The 18522-nt window shown below is 45.5% G+C and overlaps 1 protein-coding gene and 1 pseudogene across 3 annotated transcripts in view, besides 5 other annotated features; both read right to left on the minus strand.

Moving 5' to 3' along the window:
• The window catches only part of IL2RA (interleukin 2 receptor subunit alpha), a 51679-nt gene extending 46794 nt beyond the window's left edge, over positions 1 to 4885 (minus strand). For all 3 annotated transcript variants that reach the window (NM_001308243.2, NM_001308242.2, NM_000417.3), the window contains exon 1: positions 4606 to 4885. In NM_001308243.2, the coding sequence (NP_001295172.1) occupies positions 4606 to 4669 (64 nt within the window). In that variant the 5' untranslated portion in view covers positions 4670 to 4885. The remainder of the gene's footprint in view (positions 1 to 4605) is intronic.
• Positions 4596 to 4645: an enhancer, noted in NCBI's record as "active region_2950". NCBI's record gives its function as "activates an Ori minimal core promoter by ATAC-STARR-seq in GM12878 lymphoblastoid cells {active_cell/tissue: GM12878}" and the evidence as "EXISTENCE:reporter gene assay evidence [ECO:0000049][PMID:35858748]".
• Positions 4638 to 5268: a transcriptional cis regulatory region, noted in NCBI's record as "chr10:6104083-6104713 region (GRCh37/hg19 assembly coordinates) targeted for CRISPR interference". NCBI's record gives its function as "positively regulates IL2RA gene expression in anti-CD3- and PMA-stimulated Jurkat T cells {active_cell/tissue: Jurkat(+anti-CD3 and PMA for 4hr)}" and the evidence as "EXISTENCE:mutant phenotype evidence [ECO:0000015][PMID:33828297]".
• Positions 8270 to 8470: a silencer, noted in NCBI's record as "peak860 fragment used in MPRA reporter construct". NCBI's record gives its function as "represses an SCP1 promoter by STARR-seq MPRAs in K562 erythroleukemia cells {active_cell/tissue: K562}" and the evidence as "EXISTENCE:reporter gene assay evidence [ECO:0000049][PMID:32103011]".
• Positions 11139 to 11228: a silencer, noted in NCBI's record as "silent region_2096". NCBI's record gives its function as "represses an Ori minimal core promoter by ATAC-STARR-seq in GM12878 lymphoblastoid cells {active_cell/tissue: GM12878}" and the evidence as "EXISTENCE:reporter gene assay evidence [ECO:0000049][PMID:35858748]".
• On the minus strand, positions 14029 to 14439 carry RPL32P23 (ribosomal protein L32 pseudogene 23; annotated as a pseudogene).
• Positions 14911 to 14960: an enhancer, noted in NCBI's record as "active region_2951". NCBI's record gives its function as "activates an Ori minimal core promoter by ATAC-STARR-seq in GM12878 lymphoblastoid cells {active_cell/tissue: GM12878}" and the evidence as "EXISTENCE:reporter gene assay evidence [ECO:0000049][PMID:35858748]".

Genomic DNA, 18522 nt, shown 5'->3' on the forward strand with positions numbered 1-18522 from the left:
GAATCCTTGACATAGAGTGAAGGAACTGGAAGGGAGTTTCAAGATCCCTGGGTGACCTCCTCATTTTACAGAGAGAAATCTGTCAAAAACTCACGCCCTCCCCGTGTCCTCTCCTCAGTGCTTTGGCCCACTTTCTGCTTCCTGCAAGGTTTATTTTCCTGCTAATTCTATTCCCTGTGACCTCAAGCAACATGCCTCATTTCCTGAGGGAATTCTCTCTTTTTCTGTAAAGTTTCTGCTCATCCTTGGGCAAGAAGAGGAGCAGGGAAGGGTGGGAACAGCTGCCACGTTGAGGGACTGCCTGCCTTGATGATATCCATAGCTCGCAGAAGAATGACTCCAACAAAAAAGTCACAAAGAGGACTGGGTGCGGTGGCTCATGCCTGTAATCCCAGTGCTTTGGGAGGCCAAGGTGGGCAGATCACCTGAGGTCAGGAGTTCGAGACCAGCCTGGCCAACTTGGTGAAACCCCGTCTCTACTAAAAATACAAAAATTAGCCAGGCGTGGTGGCAGGTGCCTGTAATCCCAGCTACTTGGGGAGGCTGAGGCAGGAGAATCACTTGAACCCGGGAGGCAGAGGTTGCAGTGAGCCAATATCTCGCCACTGCACTCCAGCCTGAGTGACAGAGTGAGACCCTGTCTCAAAAAGGAAGAGAAAAAAAAATCACAAAGAGGTATTCAGAATACCCAAGGCTTTAGGCAAAAACCAGTCTGGGAATACTTCTCTATCAGGGGAGTGGGGTGGAGTAGTGGAGTTTTAGAGCTCAGCAACCGTTCTATATTAGCACCTCTAACTGACGCATTCGTGAAACTCATTCTTTTGGTGCAGAATTGTGAAGTCAATTTTTTTCTTTTTCAATTCTCACATCTAAAATGAAGTATATGCACAGGTGATTTATCAAACTGCCTATTTAAGGCATGCTGTTTTAAGGAAAGTAGCAACTGTCTTATGAAGAGCTCCCAATGTTTAGGAAAGCCCTTACAGCCTCAAGACATGTCTTGAAGATGAATGAAGTAACAGTAGCAATAATACTTTGGGATCTCAAGAAGTTGAAAGATTAAATGTGAAGGGTTAAACATTTTGTGTTTGACTGACAAAGGTGAAGATGGGAAATTCCATTGTGGGCAGTTGTCTTTACAAGAATGGATAATTACACAAACACATTATCTCAATGGGTTTCCACACTGTTTTTTTAAAGAATTATTTTTGAGTCTAGAGGATAAAGATTTGATCACAGAATTCCTAGAATGAAAGAAAGATGATCAAGGGACATACAAGCTCTCAGAATTTCCACAGTTCTGAGAAAGGTGCCTTCAATAACGTGCCATATTGGTAATACCAGGAGAATTCTCTTTCTGACCACATCCCAGAGCCCAGTAATATAGAGACTAAAAACACTCAAGTTGACTAATATGTCCTCATAAACCCTTGCCATGTTAAATGGTGGCTTTGGAAATTTTCAGAATGAAAATCTGCCCTTATGAATCAGCTAGAAATTGCATCTGTTGACAGTCTGATTTCATTAGAGAACTCTTACCCTGAGGAATAAAAAGTCTGATTTGTTTCAAGACTAGGTTCCTCTTGGAGAAAAAGTCTGTGATGAGATGGTTTCTTACCCTGGAGTGATGCCTAGAAATTCCTGTTGATTCCAGAAACTTGACCCCTGTCATTGTCTTTGGCCACTGGGTCCTCATTTGCCTTGTGATTGGACTATTTTAAGAGCCTCATGACCTGTCTCTGTGCACCTGATCTCTCTCCACTCTATGCCAGTATCATCTCCATAAAGCGCTGACCCTGTTTGCAATGAACAGAAACAGAACAATCCAGGGAGACCAGGTTCAAACCCTGGCACTCTCACTGCCTGTGCGAGTCTGAGTTTTGGGTTCTTGCTTCATCTAGGGGTTCATGATATCCATACTGCAAAGTGGCTATGAAGATTACAATAGGACACATATCTGGCACATAGAAGTTACTTTATAAATGGTAGTTTTAAATTTTCTTGTAGTTCTTTATTGCCTACTAGGTGAAGTTAAGAAGTTATCACTAGGAGAATTCTCTTTCTGACCACATCCCAGGGCCCAGCAATATACAGACTAAAAATGCCTAATGCCTTAGATGATTCATTTTACCTCATCCTAACTTTCCAGTTTGAATTCCCCATATCCCCACCCTCCCTGTCCAGGGCAGGAGCACATTGGACCACCTGCTGCTCCCTAAGGCACTCCTGTGTTTTGGCTCATTGGGGTCTCTCTCCCTGGAATCTCATTGATGGAAATTTACTGGTCCCTTGGGGCTCCCTTTACATGTCATCCTCATGAAGCCTTCTCTGATAGCCCAACGCTCCGTAGATCTTACCACACTCTGACTGGTATTACTATATTTATATCTATGTTTTTCTCCTCCTCACCAGGTTATAAGTTGCTTAAGTGTCAGGACTATATCTCCCTCATTTTTGTATTTCCTATAGTGTTGAGGGGCAGATGGGGTATGGATAGATGTTGAGAATGGCGTGAAGGAGTCCTTATGGGACTCTAGTTCCCCTGCTCCCTCCAAGACCACTCAGACCCTTGGATAAGTCACCAATAGCTAGAAATAACACGAGTTTACTTGAAATGTGTCTTCCAGAGGCAGAGCATGATTAATTGTCAAGATTTTCCTGTTCTTGGCTTAGACTGAGTTAGCAAAGACCCTGTGGATGTAGAAATCACATTGAAAAACCTTCCTAAAAGTATGCCCTCTTTATAAGAACGGCACGATGGACTCTGAGGACTCAGGGGAAAGGGTGCGAGGTGGGTGAGGGAAAAGAGACTACGCACTGGGTACAGCATACATGCTCAGGTGATGGGTGCACCAAAATCTTACAACGCATTGGGTACAGCATACATGCTCAGGTGATGGGTGCACCAAAATCTTACAAATCACCACTAAAGAACTTATTCATGTAACCAAACACCACCTGTCCTCCAAAACCTATTAAAATAAAACACATAGGTCAGGCGCGATGGCTCACACCTGTAATCCCAGCACTTTGGGAGGCCATGGCTGGTGGACCACAAGGTCAGGAGTTTGAGACCAGCCTGACCAATATGGTGAAACCCCATCTCTACTAAAAATACAAAAATTAGCTGGTCGTGGTGGTGCACGCACCTGTAAACCTAGCTACTCAGGAGTCTGAGGCACGAGAATTACTTGAGCCCATGAGGTGGAGGTTGCAGTGGACTGAGATCACGCCACTGCACTCCAGCCTGGGCAACAGAGTGAGACTCTGTCTCAAAAAGTAAAAAAAAAATAAATAAAAATGTAATAAGTAAATAAAATGCCCTCTTTAAAGACACTCCTACATCTGGGCCAGTACACAGCCCAGCATGACTGGGCACTTCCCCTAAACAAGCAAGCAGACTCCTGAAATGCATCATTATGTTTCATTTCTTAATAAATTCTTTCTACAGCCAGTTAGCATTCTACTTGTTGCCATTATAGACTTTCAAAAAACACTATAAACTTTCTTATCTGTCTTCCTGAGTAAGCAAAGGGAAGACATTATTAGAAAATTCACACTCAATTAGGAAGAGTGGTTTGAGGTAGAAGTTGGTGGTTTTTTATTTCTTTAAAAAAAAATATTGGCCAGGCACGGTGGTTCATGCCTGTAGTACCAGCAGTATGGGAGGCCAGGGTGAGTGGATCACTTGAGCCCAGGAGTTCAAGACCAGCTTGGGCAACATGGCAAAAACCCCATCTCTACAAAAAAATAAATTAACCAGGTGTGGTGGCGTATGCCTGTAGTCCCAGCTACTCAGGAGGCTGAGGTGGGAGGATCGCTAAGCCTGGGAGGCGAAGGTTGCAGTAAGCCAATATCGCGCCACTGCACTCCAGTCTGGCTGACAGAGACAGTGTCAAAAAAAAAAAATCTTCGAGAAAATCCATTTGAAACAAGGAATGAAATTTAAAATTTGCATATATAAACACGTATACATATACATATCATGTATATACATAGGATTATGAGAAGTAGTAATGTTCTAAAAGTGAGTATGCATATTTTTAAAAATTTCTGTAAAGTTGCACTTGTAAGGAAATTCCTAGGTGTTATTTCCTAAGACGTAAAAGCAGTGTATACATCCTTGAAGCTAAACTTTTCTGAGATCTTAAATTCTCCCAGTGTTTGATATATGAGTACTCATGTCTCCAGCAAATTAACCTGAACTTAAAGAGCTTCCTGATAGCTTCTTAGTTGGGGGGTGGGAGTGCAGAGAATAAAAGGAAATTCATTGAAGAATAAAAGATAATTTCTTGAGAAACCTGCTCATCGGGACCCTGTTAACATCCAAATATCCCAAATATCATGCCACACTATTCTTCCCAGAATTAATTGTCAAGGACTGAGAAGGACAGGAGAACCTAATGCTATTTCAGGCTCTCTTGACAGACCAAGGAACAGTGAGGCATAAACTGGGGTCCCCGTGGGTCACAGGCAAGAGGTGGAACCCAAGATTCAACTCCCTTCTTGGAACCATCTACCTGGGGACTCCCTCTGGTTCTGTGGCTGGGAAGAGGGATGCCCATCAGCCTTCCCGGAATTCCGGGGGCACCCACAGGCCCTTACCTGCCTGGCAGCCAGGCACCATGATGAACGTGAGCAGTCCCCACATCAGCAGGTATGAATCCATCTTCCTGACCCTTGGGACCAGCCGGGGCAGTGAAGCGGAGGTCTTTCTCTGCAGAAGGCCCAGTTGCCGTCAGCCTCTTTTTGGCATCGCGCCGGAGGATGTGGGATGGGAAGATCGGTCCGCCTGGGCTGTCACCCTTGTGGGTCCATCCAGTCTCTATCGGAGTCAGGAGTTGCTCTCTTTAAGTATTGGGCTGGCGTGTTCAGCCAGGAAACTGCCTAGCACTCTCTTCTCTCATCTCAAATATAGGAAGTGTTTTTTTTTTTTTTTTTTTTTGATGACAATATAGTTTGCGGTAATTTTTCAAACCAGGTTTTTTTTTTCAAGTTCAATTGCTGGAGGTGTGGGCTGGGGTTGATGAGAAGGATTGAACTTCATTTATGAATCCTTTCTTCAGCTACGCCCATAAAAGGAGAGGGAGATTCCCCTGCCGTTGAAGGTAGGGTGAGCAAGCACTTCTTGGCAGTGGTCTCACCCAGCACTTCATAAGCTGAGTCCTCCCCTCAGGGCTGTAACGTCCTCAGGAGTCAGCCGGGACCACCTGGGATGAAGGAGCAAAGTCCTGACAAGATTCTGGTCAGGCAGCCTCCAATATTCAAATAATGGAGAAGGATGCGGCGAACTGAAGGATCCTGAGAATTCATAAATAATTCCCCAAGGCTTATAACCTGTACTAGCCATCATCATTTCACCACAGTGCCCTGGGCTCCTGAAAGTGCATTGTCATTTTATAAGGTGTTTTGCTTCCAGATTTCTTTCTCTTAAAGGATCATGCAAAAAGTGGGCTTTGGTTTTAAACTTTGGATTATTTTGTAAAATTCAGTCTTGCTTATTTATTGATCAGAGCTCTCTTCTGATTATTATGAAATGGTTGAGTGTGTTTTGCTCCCTGGAAATTTGTCTAAGACTTAAAGCCATTGCATAGTTAGAGCAAAACACAATTTTTTAAATACTAGAAAGCAAGCAAAGATATTAACAAAAAGAAAACCCTCCGGGCAAGCCAAGGAATTCAGGGTTCCAAAACACATCACGTTGACTGGGCCTGGTGGCTCATGCCTGTAATCCGAGCACTTTGGTAGACCAAGGTGGGTGGATCACCTGAGGTCAGGAGTTTGAGACCAGCCTGGATGACATGGTGAAACCACCGTCTCTACTAAAAAAAAAAAAAAAAAAAAAAAAAAAAAAAAATTAGCCAGGCGCAGTGGCACACGCCTGTAATTCCAGCACTTTGGGAGGCTGAGGCAGGCAGATCACCTGAGGTCGGGAGTTTGAGACCAGTCTGGCCAACATGGTAAAACCCCATTTCTACTAAAAATACAAAAATTAGCCAGGCGTAGTGGCGGGCGCCTGTAATCCCAGTTACTCAGGAGGCTGAGACAAGAGAATAGCTGGAACCGAGGAGGTGCAGGCTGCAGTGAGCTGAGATTGCGCCACTGCACTCCAGCCTGGGCGACAGAGTGAGACTTCCATCTCAAAAAACTTGTCAAAATATGACAAGATTCTCTTAAATTCCACAGCAGGTATAACTTCCTCTCTAGGAACGTTTCTCACTCTGCGGGCAAGTGCTCCAGTAGAAACTCCTAGTACTCCCACCAAAGTCACGCTCCTTTCTTCTTGGGCATGGGAGTAGAATGCACTTGCTGCCTCTCCTGGAAAATAGCTTATGCTTTAAGTAGTTAATGTGGATTGTCATTATAAAATATTTAAATTTATGTTAATGTCTTTTTTTTTTTTTTTTTGGAGCGCAATGGCACAATCTTGGCTCACTGCAACCTCTGCCTCCCAGGTTCAAGTGATTCTCCTGCGTCAGCCTCCTGAGTAGCTAGGATTACAGGCACGCGTCACCACATCCAGCTAGTTTTTGTATTTTTAGTAGAGACGGAGTTTCACCATGTTGGTCAGGCTGGTCTCGAACTCCTGACCTTAGGCGATTCACCCACCTCGGCCTCCCAAAGTGCTGGGATTACAGGTGTGAGCCACCACGCCTGGCAATTACAAGATTTTTTTAAAGCCATATCACAAAGCCCCCACAATTTTTCTGGTAAATAAGAGGCCCAACTCTTGGTTCTGAGATGGACCATGGTTAAACAAGTCATTGAACTGGCTTTTCTGGTTCACCTTACGGATGAACGCTCTGTCGTCGTTTGCTGATGCTGAGGTTTCCAGTTGATGCTGCATGGCACGATGCAGGGATGTGAGAAGAAGTTGGGGGTGCAAAAGCAGACCCATTTTGTCACGGATTGCCCAGGATCTCATACTGAAGCTGTAGCAAAGCTTTTGCCCTTAATGAGTTTACAGGTGAAATGGAAAGACACTTGAGTGTCCCTTCCTCCAGGAGGCCTTTTCCAGTCCTTTCTACTCCATCATAACACCTGCCGTGCTGCATTGCAATTCACTGTTTATATCTCTTTCTTTCTTCTAGTTGCTGTTAATCTTTTTTGGATTAAAAACTCTTTTTTGTTTTTAATTTAAGTTCCAGGATACATGTGTAGAACGTGCAGGTTGGTTACATAGGTATAAGTGCGCCATGGTGGTCTGCTGCACCTACTCACCTGTCTTCTAAGTTCCCTCCCCTCACACCCCACCCCCCACCCTGCAGCAGGCCCTGGCGTGTGATGTTCCCCTCCCTATGTCTATGTGCTGTCATTGTTCAACTCCCACTTATGAGTGAGAACATGCGGCATTTGGTTTTCTGTTCCTGTGTTAGTTTGCTGAGGATAATGGCTTCCAGCTTCATCCATGTCCCTGCCAAGGACATGATCTCATTCCTTTTCATGGCTGCATAGTATTCCATGGTGTATATGTATCACATTTTCTTTATCTAGTCTCATTGATGGGCATTTCAGTTGGTTCCATTTTGCTATTGTAAATAGTGCTGCAATAAACATACGGGTGCATGTGACTTTATAGTAGAATGATTTCTATTCCTTTGGGTATATACCCAGTAATAGGATTGCTGGGTCAAATGGTATTTCTGATTTTAGATGCTTGAGGAATCGCCATACTGTCTTCCACAATGGTAAAAACTCTTTTCTTAATTTGATAGAACCTTTGGTTTCCCTCCTTGGAAAAAATGCACATCAGCACATACTCTGGATAAATCCGTAGGAAGTTTCAGGAGCATTATGGGCAGTTTGTTTTGTTTTGCTCTGTTTTGTTTGAGATGGGGTTTCTGGAGTGCAGTGTTGCCATCTCAACTCACTGCAGCCTCTACCTCCTTGACTCAAGTGATCCTCCCACTTCAGCCTCTCAAGTAACTGGGACCACAGGCATGCACCACCAGGCCTGGCTAATTTTTTTTGTAATTTTTGTAGAGATGGGGTTTTGTCATGTTGCCCAGGCTGGTCTCAGACTCCTGGACTCAAGCGATCCTCCCACCTCAGCCCTGCAGAGTACTGGGATTACAAGTGTGAGCCACCACACCCAGCGGTTGTGGGCACTCTGAACTTCAAAGGTCCAAGGATCTCAGGTTAAGGTGTCAAACTGTGGGCCTCTAGAGGATAGCCCTATGTCCAGTTTATCTGTGAACTTACGTCACCTAACAAAGTGCATAACACATATGGGTGTCCAACCACTATGTATGAAGCCACATGTGCATACAAATATAACTAGCATATACTAAAGCAGTTTCAGACAAATTCTTTGTGAGGCAAATTCAAAGTTTTGTTTCAAACCTGCTGCAAGGAGGTAATTTCCAATAAGTCCGGTTCAAAGATTTCTTTCCTAGTAGAGGGTTTTTTTTTTTTTTTTTTTTTTTGAGGAAAGTTATCTAGATAACATTGGTAGATTAAGTTCAAGAAAGGAACAAGTTCAAGAAAGGAACATTTGGTTAAAAGTAACTAGGTTCATCCAGGGACAGCCGGTCAACAGTGCAAGCTGAGTCTCACTTCATCAGGAAATTGCTCAATTCTATTATCAGAAATGTTTGGTACTTCCTAGAAGAAACTGCTCAGAACAGCGGACAACAAATTTCTGACCTAGACTGCCTTCCCTTAGGTTTAAGACCACTTTCTTTCTAGACGTACAGTGGGGTGAATACTAATGATTATGGTAAGAAGAGCAATTGAAATGTAGGAGGGAAAAGTTGTTGAGCTGATGTGATCAGGAAAGGCCCACGTATTGTCCTTGAAGGATGGATACGGCCTTGGTAGGTGGTTCCTGAGGAAGCAGAGTGTGGTCCATAGTTAACCAGAAGTAGAGAGGGGTAGAAGCTAAGGGCAGAAATATCAGCTGGATTCAGAGTCAGGTGGACCTCGAAAAACAGAATAAGATCTATGGACTTCAGCCACTGAAGCTGTCTAACCCAGGCGGGACATAGCCAAGTGATGTGATGATGAGGCCGAGCTGGTGTGGTGTGCAGGGAAGATTGAGGCATAGAGATGCTGAAATACTCTTCAGGAAGGAAATCATAAGGACTGGAGGAAGGTGAAATAAATTGGAATGGCAAGGAGGCTTGATGCCAGAATATCAGGCAAAGGGAAAATGCAGTTGGTAATGCCTGGATGTGGGGCAAGAAGCGGGGAACAGAATTTGTGAGCTTTGGCGAGGAGAAAATTCACTGATTTGAGCTCATCAAATGGATTGGCGAAATTCAAGTGTGTGAGGCTGAGGTTAGGGGATGGCAGAGAGGCAGTAGCATTTGTGAACAGGAGTTAGTTGTTCACTTGGGTTGTTCTCTTGTTCCTACAATGTTGGACAGTCCTTGAAGACAGCATTTATTATCCAGACAACTCTAAAGCTTGACTTGCCACCCCCCTAGCCCCAACCACAAGAACGAGTTTTCAGCTTGCAACAAAAATCATTTCTGTTTATTAGAGTCTAGATTGGGGAGCAGGGGCAAAGAGTAGAGGAAAAAAGGGGAGAGGTGGTGAGGAATCAATCACCTTTCATTTTCCTTTACTTACCCTTGGGGCTTGTTAACGGTCACTTCCACAATGCCCATAGAACCGGCCGAGCACGATGGCTCACGCCTGTTATCCCAGCACTTTGGGAGGCCGAGGCAGGCAGATCACCTGAGGTCAGGAGTTTGAGACCAGCCTGGCCAACATGGTGAAACCCTGTCTCTACTAAAAATACAAAAATTTGCCGGGCTTGGTGGCACATGCCTGTAATTCCAGCTACTTGGGAGGCTAAGGCAGGAGACTTGCTTGAACCTAGGAGGTGGAGATTGCAGTGAGCCAAGATCACACCGCTGCACGCCAGCCTGGGGGACAAGGGCAAAAGTCTGTCTCAAAAAAAAAAAATGCCTGTAGAACCAAGTGGCACAGATGCCCGTATGAAATGAATAACCATGAATAATTGAATGCAGAAAAAAAAAGGAAGGAGGAAGGATGGGATAAGGAAGAAGGTAGGAGAGAAGTGAACGCAGAGGGAAATGGTGAGCCCCACTTGGTGATGGGCACCATAGCTTGCTCACTTTGACTGTTGAGGACGTGTCACTCTGGAGACTACAGGCTGCCAAGAGGACCTCTGTGCTGAATCCCGTAAGGACTGTTTTCAGGGATTAAAACACTGGTGCTCTGAGGCTCACTTGGTGTGGTGGTATAACATGCAAATGAGAGGTGCCCAGGGCAAGAAAACTTGCTCTATAGAATAAAAGAAATGCTGGCCGATTAGGGAGAAGTCATGCTGAGGAGAGTGGCAGAGAAAGGACCCAGAGTGGGAAGAGCAGGGCAGCTCTGGAGAAATAATAAAGAGCTTGGAAGAAAATTTTAAAATCATTTGAAGATAAGAGTTTGCAATATGCTTTGCAATGTTAACTCTTCTCCCCAACAGCCCACAAAAATCTTGAGTAAAATTCCCATTTTGTCTTCATGCATTTTGGAGTTGAACGAGCTTTGAGGACATTTGAAACATGGAGCATGACTTCCTCTGTGAGCCAGGACTAGTGGGAAGCCTGTTTAGTCCACGAATAATGGGGTTTCTCCCATTTTCCTCCTGTTGCTGTCCTCTTGACTGGTTCATTGTTTACCAGCATATCTGCCAGGGGAGCACAAGGAAAGGAAAAGGTGAAGCTGAGCGTGGTGGCGCATGCCTATAGTCCCAGCTACTCAGGAGGCCAAGACGTTGAGGTTCGCTTGACCCCAGGAGGTCAAGGCTGCAATGAGCTATGATTGCACCACTGCACTCCAGCCAGGGCCACAGAGCAAGACCTCGCCTCTAAAAAAAAAAAAAAAAAAAAGAAAAAGGAGGGAGTGGGGGAAAGGAAAAGCTGAAACCCAGATCAAAGAATTTCACCTCTGTCACATAATCCATCAATAAACGTTGACTGCAATTAATCAAAGAATTATGCTAGAACCTGTGAGGAGAGCCAAGAAGCTAAAACATAGCCCTGCACTGAGGACGCTCACAGTCTCCTCAAAGAGGAAAAGAAATGGGCCCTCAAAAGGGGAAGTGACCGCTCACGTCTGCAGGGATCCGTTCAGCAATCAGGCCTGCCCTGCACTATACGCTGGCACCACATGAAAGCAGCCTCACTCTCTCATCTTAGACTTTCTTTTCTCTAGAGGAGTGATGTGCTGAGCTGTGGTCTCAGAGCCAAAATCCGAACAGGAGATAACCCTTTGCTTTCTGGGAGCGTGGCAGTGGAAGGACTGAAGCGGTTGCAGAGAGCCTGCTGTTTATGTACTGGATGTTCTTGTTAGGCTTAGTAGGAGGTCATTTTCCCAGGCCTGTGGTGTCCCCCAGGATTTTCTCTCCTTTATCTTGTACACACGGACCTGAAATGTCCACATGAGGTCCCACAAATTACATTTTACTTCGCTCATGCACTCTTGGGTGCACCCTTTAGTATAATTCAATTCAGTGCATATCAACGTAGGATCCAGGAATGGGGAGCTCTGCCCAGGCTCTGGGAGAAGCAAAAACAAACAAAGAAGGGTTTTTGCTCCCCAAGAGCCAGTGATCCACCTGTGGGAATTTGGATTGGAAGCAGAAAGCCCCCAGTTAATTGCAAGCACATCTGTCAAAGTGATAATCCCATCAAAAGCAAATGAACCATTGCAGGATAGCCTGGAGCACGAGGGCCTTCCATCTTTGCTTGTTAAGTGGATGGCGGTTGGATAGATGTTGCTGAGATCGGTGCCTCCCATGGCCGAGAGGCAGGCAAGACACTTCAGATTCTGCCCCAGTTGGCACTATGCAAACAGGGTTATTTCTCTCAAACTGGTATTGAAAGAATGCTGCTGCTAATTCTACGAAATCTACAGGTGCATCCTGTTATTGCGGCACTGAGTTGAATTTCTGCAGTTTGTAATTTCCACCAGATTCTACTAGACAAGGGCACAGGGGTCCCGTGGAAAACCAAAATCCACTATGAATCAAATAACCCAACTCTACTCAAATGTCTAGTTCCCAAGCCACTGTTGACTTGTGGGTTGTGCCACCCAGAAAACACTGGGAGAGAACAGTTGGTTTGTATGAATCATGAACTGAGTCCTCCGTCCCTAACAATTGAAAACTGACTTTGTTAACATTTTGTGGCTTGTGGTGACCAGTGCTGTTGGGTCCCACAGATGTTGTCAGAGGGTCCTCTTTCCATTTGAGTGGAGGACGTGTTTCCTGGGGGGATAGCAGCAAAGCTCCCTGGCCACTTCTGTCATGATTTTAGTTCAGGGATGGATAATAGAGTTTATCTCTCAAGCCAGCACTGATGAGTTACCAATGGCGGCCCAGGACAAGGATTCCAAACCCCCTTTGGAGCTCAGTGGTCTGTGGTCTTTGCAGGGAGGTGAAGGCATGCTTGTGTCACATTTTGTCTAGACGTCTGTACAGCTTTTCAGCTGGCTTCCCTCACTCAAATGTGTCTCTCCACTCCACCATTCTTACCCATTGCTTCCAGTTTAATCTTTTTTTTTTTTGACTGAGTCTTGCTCTGTCGCCCACTGGAATGCAGTGGTGCAATCTTGGCTCACTGCAACCTCTGCCTCCCAGGTTCATGTGATTCTCCTGCTTCAGCCTCCCAAGTAGCTGAGATTACAGGCACCCACCACCATGCCCGGCTAATTTTTTTTTTCAGTAGAGATGGGGCTTCACCACGTTGGCCAGGCTGATCTCAAACTCCTGACCTCAGGTGATCTGCCCACTTCGCCTCCCAAAGTGCTGGGATCACAGGCGTGAGCCACCGTGCCCAGCCCCAATTTAATCTTCTGGAAGAATACTTTTCCCTTATCTACAACGTAACATTTTAGGAGTGTCCATAATGTCTTTGAAATTAAGCCCACATTTCTTAGCCCGGTATTCAAAATCCTTCATAACCTGCCCTGGCCTATCTCTTCAGTATTAATTCTTCGCTATCCTTCATGCTGTCTTTGCCACAAAAATGTTCCCAAGCAGACCAGAGAACAAAATAAAAATCATCAACTGCTCACTGTTCCTGCAACACCGCCTCCTCTTTTCTTGGTTTCCTCTGTTAAATCCATAAGCCCAAAGCTCACTCACTCCTTAACACCCAGCTCCAGTGCTACCCTGCTGAAGGAAGTCTCACCGCATCCCTCCCTCTGGAAGTGCTCCCCCTCCTCTGGGCTGTTCCCTTATCTGCATCTTAGGAATATTGAAAGGAATCACTAGCACTGACTAGGCCCTTACTACATGGCAAGCACTGTGCTGAGAATGTTGCATGTCTCTGCCGCTGACTTCTCACAGCAATCTGGCGGGGCCGGCATGCCATCACTATTTCCATGTTACAAGTGCAGGCATTGCATCTCATTGTGGTTGTGAAACACCCACACTCACATAATTCGTCAGGAGTGGTGTCATGTCTAGGTCCCAGGTCTGTCTAACCCTTACACATGCCACAAGCCCATCACTCTCAGGGCATTTACCAATTGAAAACTGCCTTGTAGCTCTCTGGAGACACGGCTGATCATTCCAATGAGGCTCTATGCATCTTTAGAGAGAGGATATGCCTCTAGGTCGCCTTCTTATTCCTAGTGCTGAGTTCAGTACTTAGCATGGAATTAATGCTCAGTCGTTAAGCATTGAATGAATGACTGTATGCAGAACCTTTTTAGAGCTCTGGATTTGGGAAACACAGTTAATAAGGCATCAGCCTTCACTGTATTTCATCAGGCTTTTACTTTGTGGAATTGGGTTTGAGAAAAAAAAAATCACTCAGTTGTGGCCCAAGTCTAGAGTCCACAATTATGCAATATGTTATGAAGGGTTTGATGGAAACCTTCAAGTGTCCGTAGGGAGAATGGTCAGTACATTCAACCATGAATTCAAGGACTAGTATGTGATCGGCCTGCTGATGTAAATTCCTCCTCCTCCTCCCTCCTCCTTCCTCTTCCTCCACTTCCTCCTTCTTTCTTTTTTTTGTTTTTTAATTTAAAAACAAATAAAACGTGCACATGAGCAGTCTAATCCTTTTCTTTGCTGCACAGCTTGGCACTGGGATTGGTGACTCCAATGGGCAGCTGGGCCACTGTTTCCAGGATGGCTTTGCAGTTCTTGGGGGCAACATTGAGGGCAGTCTCAGCACACTGAGATGTGTTGCACCTCAGCAGGACCTCCGGCTTCTTGACGGGGTGGACCAGGAGCTTCTGGAAGCCGCTGGGCAGCATGTACTCTGCTGCTCCCATAACCTGTGCCAGGCATCAAAATTAGGCCCTTGATTCTTCTACCAACCCTGTTGTCAAGAGGAGTTGTTGATGCCTCTGCATTTCTGCCAGTTATGCTAATTTTGGGATATTGGCCTGACTGGTACTGGATGAACTTCTTGTCCTCTTTATGAGGATCTTGGTCATCATGAGGGGTCCTAGTGCAGCCACAGTGCTGAGTAGGAGAGGAAGACAAGGGGAGGCTGTGTGAAGGGCTGAGGGGACGTGGGCTCTGTCAACTTCTTCTTTTGGGAGCATCGAGTGCTCTCTGAAATGCACTCGCCTCTCCCTAAGAGCGGAAGTGGGCTGGGTGTGGGGGCTCACACCTGTAATCCCAGCACTTTGGGAAGCTAAGGCAGGAGGATTGCTTGGGACCAGGAATTTGAGACCAGCCTAGGCAACATAGTGAGACCAGATTCTCTAGAAAAAAATTAAAAATTAGCTGGGTGTGTTGGTGCGTGCCAGTAGTCCCGGCTACTCAGCAGGCTGAGGTGGCAGGATCCTTGAGCCTGGAAGGTTGAGGCTGCAGTGAGCTACCGATTGTGCCACTGCACTCCAGCCTAGGCACAGAGCGAGACCGTGTCTCTACAATTAAAACAAACAAAAAAGAGCAGACCAGCTTCTGGGAACTGAAGGGGGTACCTTTGTCTTCTGAGTGCATGAGCAAGAGAGCGTGAGGAAGAAAATACAGTATCTTGTTTATTTTAGTTTCTAAACAACTTCACCCTCATCCATAAAGACCCACAGTTTCCCCCAGAAACTTCTGTCAGAGCTTGAGAAAATAAAAACAAAGACCAAAAACAAAGCAGGGACTTCCTGGGTAATGAAGCCAGAGGATTATTTCATAACAAGCATACTTTTTTCATGTGACATCTGGAGGGTTAAGTTAGAACAGAGAAGCCAGCCACCTGCCAAGAAGGTCTGAAGAACCCAGAAGCGACATTAGCAAGGGGTTCGTTTCACGGAATCCAAAGGTCTGTTTCGTCAATCATGGCCAGATGGGGTATTAACAGTATCTCGAATTGACGAAATTCATTTTTTTTCTGAGAAGTTCGAAACTTTTTGTTTGAGTAACCTCATTCTTCCCCTCCCCAACATGCGATGAAAGATTCTGTTCCTTGTCTGTTAGATGAAGAGACTGAACTCTGTTGAGATTAGGCTAATTTCATCCCTGGTGGGTGTGGGATGAATTTCTAGTTCTCTCACTTGTCTTTTTCTTTCTCTTTCTCTTTCTTTTTAAAAATTTTACTTTAAAACTGACAAATAATAACTGTACATATTCATGCGTACATAGTGATGTTTCGATACATATGACGTGCAGTGATCAGATCAGCATAATTCGCACATCCATCATCTCAAACATCCATCATTTCTTTGTGTTGGGAATATTCAATATCCTCCTTCTAGCTATTTTGGGTTTTGTTTTTGTTTTTGTTTTTGTTTTGAGATGGAGTCTCGTTCTGTCACCCAGGCTGGAGTGCAACAGTGCAATCTCAGCTCACTGCAACTTCTGCCTCCCGGGTTCAAGCAATTCTCCCGTCTCAGCCTCCCAAGTAGCTGGGATTACAGGTGCCCGCCACCACACCCGGCTAATTTTTTGTATTTTTAGTAGACTCAGGGTTTTACCATGTTGGCCAGGCTGGTCTCAAACCCCTGACCTCAGGTGATCTACCCTCGTCGGCCTCCCAAAGTGCTGGGATTACAAGTGTGAGCCACCGCCCCACCTCCTTCTAGCTATTTGAAACTATGTAATACATTATTAACTGTAGTCATCTTATAGTAGTACAGAACACTAGAACTTATTCTTCCTGTCTAGCTGTAATTTTGTATCCTTTAATAAATCTGTCCCTATCACTCCCTTCCCATCTCCCTTCCCACCCTCAAGTATCCTCCTTCTACTTTCTACTTCTGTGAGACTGACACTTTTTAGCTTCCACATGTGACTGAGAACATGCAGTGTTTAACTTTCTGTTCCTGGCTTATTTCATTTTTTATAATTCCTCCAGTTCCATCCATATTGCTGAGAATTACAGGATTTCATTCTTTTTTATGGCTGAACAGTATTCCATTGTGTATATATACCAAATTTTCTTTATCCATTTATCTGTTGTTGGATACCTAATAACTGTCTTTTTCTGAAAAAGCCAGCTCTCTCCTTTATGACCCATATTTCCCCATGTTAGTAACTTATTTGCCTTTTTTTTTTTTTTTTTTTTGAGACAGCAGGATCTTGCTCTGTTGCCCAGGCTGGAGTGCAGTGGCATGATCTCAATGCAGCCTCTAACTCCCGGGCTCAGGTGATCCTCCCAGTCAGCCTCCCGAGTAGCTGGGATTACAGGCTCGTGCCACCTTGCCTGGCTAATTTTTGTATTTTTTGTAGAGACAGGGTTTCATCATGCTGCCCAGGCCACTCTCAAACTCCTGGGATCAAGGGATTGAACCATCTCAGCCTCCCAAAGTGTTGGGATTACAGGCGTGAGCAACTGTGCCTAGCTTGTCTGCCTTTTTAAGACAAATAATGGAATTCTTCATTTTCTGCCGAGCTCATTTTTGGTGCTCTGTTGCCACTACTATTTATTGAGTACCTACTATGTGCCAGGTACATAAGTACTTGTATCATATTGAGAATAAGACAGACCAAATCCATGCTATTATAATGCTGCTCAAGTTCTGAGGAGGTGAACAGACAAGAAGCAAATAATCAGATGAAAATATGGTGTAATGCTCTGGATGGTGAGTCTCACAGAGAAGAACAATGCAGGTAAGTCAATCATGCCAGGGATGGGGTGGAGAGGATGCTCATTCAGGTGACGAAGTTGAGGAAAGCCATTGGATGGAGCCGGGATACAGTGATGGAACAAACCATGTCTCTGTTTGGGGGAAGAGCGTCGCTGAGGAGGAAAGACTCGATGTCCCAGGAACAGCAAGCAGGCTGGCGTGACTGCATGAGCCAGGGGCCCAGGTCAGAGATGCAGGTGGAAAAAGTAGGTAGGGGCTGCGTCAGTGAAGGACTTGTAGGCCAGGTGAGGAGTTTGGGATTGTATTCTGAGTTGATGGGAAACTATGGGAAGGTTGGGAGCAGAGGAGAAGTGATGGGGTCATTGCATTTGTCAGCCGAAGAGGCGGTGGTGAGGTCTGAGGCCATAGCAGTGGAGACGGTAAGCAGTGACCACTTAGGGAATCTACTTTAAAAGTGGAACCCACAGAACTTGATTGATTGGATGCAGCAGGGTTGAGTGGGAGGAAAAGAGAAGAATCAACGTGACTCAGATTTCTGGCTTGCGTACTCAGTGAAAGATGTTGCCAGTTACTAAGATAAGTTACTAAGATAGGGAGCTGGTTAGGATTATGAGGAGCTGAGAGCTCTGCTCCGGCCGTGGCAATCGGCACCTGCATGGAGATGCTGTAGAGGTGCTGGACCAACAGCTCATCTGAGAGGCTGTGCTCCAAAGTGGAGCAGAGGGTATGGGGCAGCAGCGGGAGGCAGTTGTGGGGACTGCAACTGCGAGGTTTCTTTTCAAATAGACTTTGTTTTTAGAGCAGTTTTAGACGCACAGCAAACTCGAGTGGAAGGGAGAGAGAGTTCCCCTGTGCCTCCTGCCCTCACACCCGCACAGCGCCCCAACTATCAACACCCCTACCAGCGTGGCGCATTTGTTAGAACTGATGAAACTACTTCATTTCAACCGAGCGGTGTACGATCTATTCTTCTGGGAGAAAGGGGGGTGAAATTGCAACAGTTAGCCCTTCCTGAAAATAAATATGTGTGGGGGGTATGTTGGTATATTTCCGAGCACTGTAGCATATTCACCAGTCACCTGCCTGGTGCACTTGGGAGTCATCCACCCCACAGTCCCCTCCACCCCACAGTCCCCTCCACCCCACAGTCTCCTCCACCCCGCAGTCCCCTCCACCCCCCAGTCTCCTCCACCCCACAGTCTCCTCCACCCCGCAGTCCCCTCCACCCCCCAGTCCCCTCCACCCCACAGTCCCCTTTGGGCGTTTTTGCACAAAGTATTCAGCGCACAGCTTAGTTGCATACACTCAGGTGTGAATAGGTGACTACCTGGGATGTTGAAATCCTGGACAGCTGGAATCTGTACACATGGTCTTAAAATGACAATAGCCGTCTAACTGTTTTTGTAGCACCAGGAGCAATGTAAAGACACACCACCTGTGCACCAGGACAGCACAGAGGTGAGCTCACTATTAGTTTCTAAGTATTTCCAACACTTATATCTTTGGAGTTTTCTT

This window comes from Homo sapiens, chromosome 10 (genome assembly GCF_000001405.40).
Source record: "Homo sapiens chromosome 10, GRCh38.p14 Primary Assembly".
Lineage (NCBI taxonomy): Eukaryota > Metazoa > Chordata > Mammalia > Primates > Hominidae > Homo > Homo sapiens.